Raw genomic sequence first — 6258 nt, forward strand, 5'->3', positions numbered from 1 at the left:
GAGACTCAGACAACCCACAGAGGGGTTGAATGAAGTATCATGAGTTTTAGAAAGCAAAGACTGAAAAGGTACATTTCATTACAAAAGCGACTTGAGGAATAAAGCAATAGAGCTCCCTTAACTATAAATGGAGAAAGGAGCAAAAGATATTGAGAAGTGGTCACACCAAGGAAACTAATATAAGAAATAAAATCCATTTCAGAGGAGCTAGGAAAGGAAGAAAAATAAATAATTGAGTGATATAAAAAAAACTGGCTCTCCAAAACCATTAGTAAATGAATTACTATAGAATGCAGAGTTTTCTGGAGAGCTGGGAGTTTATCCTTTAACTCATATTTAAAACACATTTAAAACAAATTTAACCAAATTTAATCTAATGCAGATCTTTCTAAAATCAATTACACATCATTGCTTTGACTTCTTAAATGTGATTTTTTTTTTTTTAAACAGTCTCTTTCCGTTACCTAGGCTGGAGTACAGTGGCACAATCTCAGCTCATTGCAGCCTCCATCTCCTGGGTTCAAACAATTCTCCTGCCTCAGCCTCCTGAGTAGCTGGGATTATAGGCGTGTGCCACCATGCCCAGCTAATTTTTGTATTTTTAGTAGAGAAAGGGTTTTGCCATGTTGGCCAGGCTGGTCTCGAACTCCTGACCTCAGGTGATCCACCCACCTCAGCCTCCCAATGTGCTGGGATTACAGGCATGAGCCACTGTGCCCAGCCAAATGTGATTATTCTTAAAGGGTCATGAAAGGAAGCACTGTGCAATGATTTACAAACTCTGGCCTGAGCACAGGTGCTTGGCTGACCCATAAGAATCACCTGGGAAACTTCATAAAAATACAAAGAACAGGAATGAAGCCCAGAAATCTGTGCTTTTTAAAACCTTCCCTGGTAATTCTGACTCATGGCTAGTTTCAGGAATGGGGAGTATAAGGGGAAGAACACTTGTCTGACTGTTAGTATTTAGGCAGTGTTACTTCGATAGCTATGAATGCATTCGACACACATTTATTGAGCACCTAATATATCCTAATGTTGAGCACTGTCTTAGTTCATTCAGGCTGCTATAACGAATACAATAGACTAGATGGCTTATAGACAACAGGCATTTATTTCTCATAGTTCTGGAGGCTGGGAAGTCTAAGATCAAGGGACTGGCACATTCAGTGTCTGGTTGGGCCTGCTTCTTGGTTCATAGGCAGTCATCTTCTCATTGTGTCCTCATGGGGTGGAAGGGGCAAAGGAGTTCTCTGGTCTCTCTTTTATAAGGTCACAGATCCCACTTATGAGAACTCTGCACCCATGAACTAATCACCTCCCAAAGTCCCCACCTCCAAATATCATCACACTGGGGATTAGGTGTCAACATTTGAATTTTGGGAGTACACGAACATTCAGTCTATAGCAAGCACCTAAGATAGGCTTTGGCATACAAAGATTAATAAAATATGGTCTGCCAAAGAGTCTACATTCAAATAATGGGGCCAAATACATTAAAGTACAATGAGGTAAAAATATAATAGGATGTAATGAAAATCTATCCTGGAGAGTGAAAGAGCTCCTAACTTAGCCTCGGTTTCCTGGAGGAGACATCTGAGATGAGTCCCAAAGTTTGAGATATTAGTCAAGTGAATTTGAAGAGAGAATGAGGAGGAAGAAGGGGCAATGTTCTGAGTCCCCCTACATTATACATATAATATCAGTAGTTGATGGTAGAAAGTGGGAAATGGATGGGTAAGAGTTTGAAGTTTAGTTTGCAGGCAGTGGACAGCTATTGTAGTATACAGTCAATGAGATCAGATTTACATTTCAGTCAGATGACTTTGGCCAGATAAGTGGAATATAGATTTAAGAAGATAAGAAATGGAAATAGAAAAAAGAAAGAAATGGAAGGAGAAGAATGAGTTAGGAACCCATGGAACAATTTCAGGCAAGAGTTATTGAAGGTCTGATAAAAAGCAGTGAAAACTGAGATGGAAAGGGGAAGATAAATTTGAGAAAAATGGAGGCAAAAAGACAAAGTGATTGATTCGAAGAGGAAAAGACATGGAAGGGGTAGAAAAGGTGAGGGAGAGAGAAATAAAGGAGTCAAGGATGACACCCTCAGACCATGTTAGGCAAGACATTTACTATTTCTAAGTGTCATTAATAAAATGTGTACCCTAGATGACCTCCAACATACTTTAAGTCTAAATGTCTATGCATCATTATTATATTGATTATTATATTATTCATTTGTGTCTTCAAAATCTTTTAGAGCTTGCCCTTACACTAAGGGGCTCCTGGATATTTGAAATTCAGGTATCTGCTTTCTCGAGTATTGTTATGTTCTCTCTTGATATGATGTGTAAATGGAACTTGTCAGCAGTAACAGTAGCTGCTGACAGCATACCTGCCTATAGCAGTCTTCTCTTCTAAATGTGCTATTTCTGTATATTGTAGGTATGGAAGGAAGTTAGAGAACTGAGTAATCTCCCTCTCTTCTGAGCTATATGCTCCTTCATTTGTAACTCCCTCTGAGACTTTCTTTATTCTACATTGTTTTACTCTTAGTTGTGTACATGCTTTATATGTCCTATTTGGGCTTAAGCCCCTGAGAACAAGAAGCGTTTCTTAATGTTCTTTGTGCCGCTTCATATAAATTGTCCCCTACAGTGCCTTGCATACAGAACTTAAACAATGCATAGGTGTCTCTTTTGCACCAAGATTGTCAGAATTGTTAATAGATTATGAATAAACTGACTGGGTGAGGACCCAAAAAGCATTTTTTTTCTGAGTAGATAAACTACAATGCTCAAGGCAGTTCAAAAGTCATTCAGAAAGCCTTTTGCTTAGTTTCTTGTTCTTAACTGTGTTCTAGATAGATAAAGTTATTAAGAGACAGAGATATGGAACAGCAAAATATTAAAGGAGGAAAAACTTAAGATGACTCAAGTACAATTTGAGAAAAAGGCAACTATCATGGAAAGTAAATATAAGAAGTCATCTAGTTTTTAATTAAATGGATTTTGATAAATCTATGTAAGAGTCAAATGTGTACATTGTCAGAGAGCTAAAAACTATAACATCCTTTAGGTAATCTTATAAGTGTAATTGGAAAACACATGTCTAGCAGTTTGTATCAACTCTTTAAGTTTATTATCTTACCTGACAAACCACACAGATAAGAAAGTTAAAGCTAAACAGTGTGTTGCTCATTCCAAAATTGTGCCATTAGAGACATCCCTAAGGATTTGACCTTTGTTCAACTGTCATTAAGATTATGAAGCCTATACCTCTTACATATGTTTCAATAGAATCATTTTTATAGCACATTGCTTTTTATATCTGTAAAATTTATGACGAAATTTGGTTGGGCGCAGTGGTTCATGCCTGTAATTCTAGCATTTTGGGAGACTGAGGTGGCCAGATTGCTTGGACTTAGGAGTTTGAGACCAGCTTGGGCAACATGGCAAAGCCCCATCTCTACAAAAAATACAAAAAATTAGCCAGGTGTGGTAGTGGACGTCTGTTGTCCCAGTTTCTCTGGAGGCTGTGGCGGGAGGATGGCTTGAGCCCAGGAGGCAGAGGTTGCAGTAAGCTGAGATCGTGCCACTGCACACCACCCTGGGTAACAGAGCCAAACCCTGTGCCCCGCCCCCCACAAAAAAAAAGCTTATGACAAAATTTAATTAAATAGTTACATTGTCGCTATTCAGAAAAAGAAGGCAAGGAGGCCAAAACTGAGCAATTTACCAGCTTCCTGTAATGGCTCAGAATAATTATTCTCCAGCTCCTGAACACCATAGTACACATTTTATTTGGGAGTGTCAATGATGTGGAAAGGTCCAAGTTTGACAAAATTTCAGAAATTAAGAATTAAGGACTGTCTATAATTTAAATATTTAAGAAGACAAGAAATCATTCACTTTTGATTTTGTTTTTCAGTTTCTAATGGGTTGCAGAAGCAGGCGGGAGCTGATTACTATTCACAGATGGCCTAAAGTTTATGTCTCTAGTGTCCTCAGGTTTCCCCATTCCCTACCTAAGTTCTGTCCTTCATGAGGTCTGAAAAAGGGCTGAGAAATCACAGGCTAATACCATATTGCTCTTTCTCTATATTGATCAAAGTTTGGCAAACATCTTTTTGCACTTAGTTTACTTAAGACAATATTAGACTTTTCCCAAGATATTTTCAATTAGAAATTAAGCAGAGCAGGAGTCTTCAAAATAAGCATAGAGATGGGATGAGTTTTACAGGGTAAGGACTTTCGATCCAAACCTAATTAAAATTTAGTTATAGGTGAATCAGCTCTCACATTGATTATGTTCCAACTACATACTGGGCACTTTGTAAAACACAGGGATAGTAGTAGATCTCCCATCCAGAAACCTGTAGTCTAACTGGAGAGAGAAGCACATAAACAAAGGAGCTGCTATGATGTGGTAAATGCTAGGACAGACGTATGCACGTATTATTGAAACTTGCCTTCTTTGTCTTTTACACCTAGACCAGAATTGGCAAATGCATGTGTCTTAGTCCATTCGTGCTGCTATAACAAAATATCTGAGACTGGGTAATTCATAAATAATAGAAATTTATATCTCACCGTTCTTGAGGTGAGAAAGTCTGCTATTGTTTGGATGTTTGTCCCTTCCGAATCTCATGTTGAAATGTAATCCCCAATGTTGGAGGTGGGGCCTGGGGGGAGGTGATTGGATCATAGGGGTGGATTCCTCATGAATGACTTAGCACCATCGCTGTGGTGACGAGTGAGTTCTCACTCGGTTCACATGAGATCTGGTTGCTTAATAGAATCTGGAACCTCCGCCTTTTCTCTTTTGCCTCTGCTTTCACCATCTGATGTGCCTGCTCCCCCTTTGCCTTCCACCATGATGATGAGGCCCCCACCCAGAGCAAATGCCAGTGCCATGCTTCCTGTACAGCCCACAGAACCAATTAAATCTCTTTCTTTAGAAATTACCTGGCCTCAGGTATTTCTTTATAGAGGTGCAAAAATGGACCAACAAAAATCCAAGATCAAGGAATTGGCAAATTCGTTGTCTTGTGAGGATGCAGTCTCTGCTTCCAAGGTAGCACCTTTAACACTGTGTCCTCATTTGGCAGAAGGAAGAAGGGCAAAGGGGGATGAACACTATGTCCTCACATGGTGGAAGAGCGGAAGAGAAGAAATCCACTCCCTCAAGCCCTTTTATAAGAGCCTAATCTCATCCACAAGAGCTCTGCCCTCATGACTTAATCACTTCCTAAAGGCCCTACCTCTTAACACTGTCACATTGGCCAAAAGTTTCACGAATTTTAGAGGACACATTCAGGCCACAGCAACATGACACTGTGCCATCACTCATATCTCCTATTCCATAGCAGTCATTCTTTCCCAGTAAATTTTCACAAGCCTTCTTGTGAAAATACAGTGTGCCACGCAGTTGCTACCAGTAACTGGAACGTGAGATGAAACCCATCTGCCTCTCCGTATCTAGGCTTACATCTGCTAGTACCGTATTGGCAGATACTATTTGGGGTCTGATTTCTTGCCCAGCTGGAGATACATACAGAATTCTTTAATTTCTGTTTCAGCTTTTTGCATTCCCTTTTAAGTCAACCACTAAGTTATTTACCATGTGAGGAAACCCAAGATCCAAGCTCATTTGCAGAGCATAGATAACAGATTTCCCATATGCAATGAAAAAGCTAAGCATACCTCATGCTATCAGCTCCATTCACGTAATATTAATGCTAACTAATATGTTTTGAGTATAAACTTAGATGCCATAATACCCGTTATTTTGCAAATAAAAAAACTGAGGATTAGAAAGAGCCAGGATTGGAATCTAGCGGCAGTCAAGGCTCAAGTTTTAGAATTGTTAACTGCTAGAGTGTTCCACCTTACTTCTCCAGATCCTGGAGAAGTGCAGCATTCCTTCCAGAATTTCTTGATTCTCTTCATATATACCATTTTTAAAAACTCATTGAAGGTCAGGTGTGGGGGCTCACGCCTAAAATTTCAGCACTTTGGGAGGCTAAGGCAGGCAGATAGCTTGAGCTCAAGAGTTGGAGACCAGCCTGGACGACATAGTGAGACTCCATCTCCATCGAAAGTACAAACAATTAGCTGGGCATGGTGGCACCTGCCTGTAGTCCCAAGTACTCAAGAAGCTGAGGCATGAGAATTGCTTGAGCCTGGGAGGCAGAGGTTGCAGTGAGCTGAGATTGCACTGCTGCACTCCAGCCTGAGTGACAGAGTGAGACCCTAT

This window comes from Homo sapiens, chromosome 4, assembly GCF_000001405.40.
Source record: "Homo sapiens chromosome 4, GRCh38.p14 Primary Assembly".
Taxonomy (NCBI): Eukaryota; Metazoa; Chordata; class Mammalia; order Primates; family Hominidae; genus Homo; species Homo sapiens.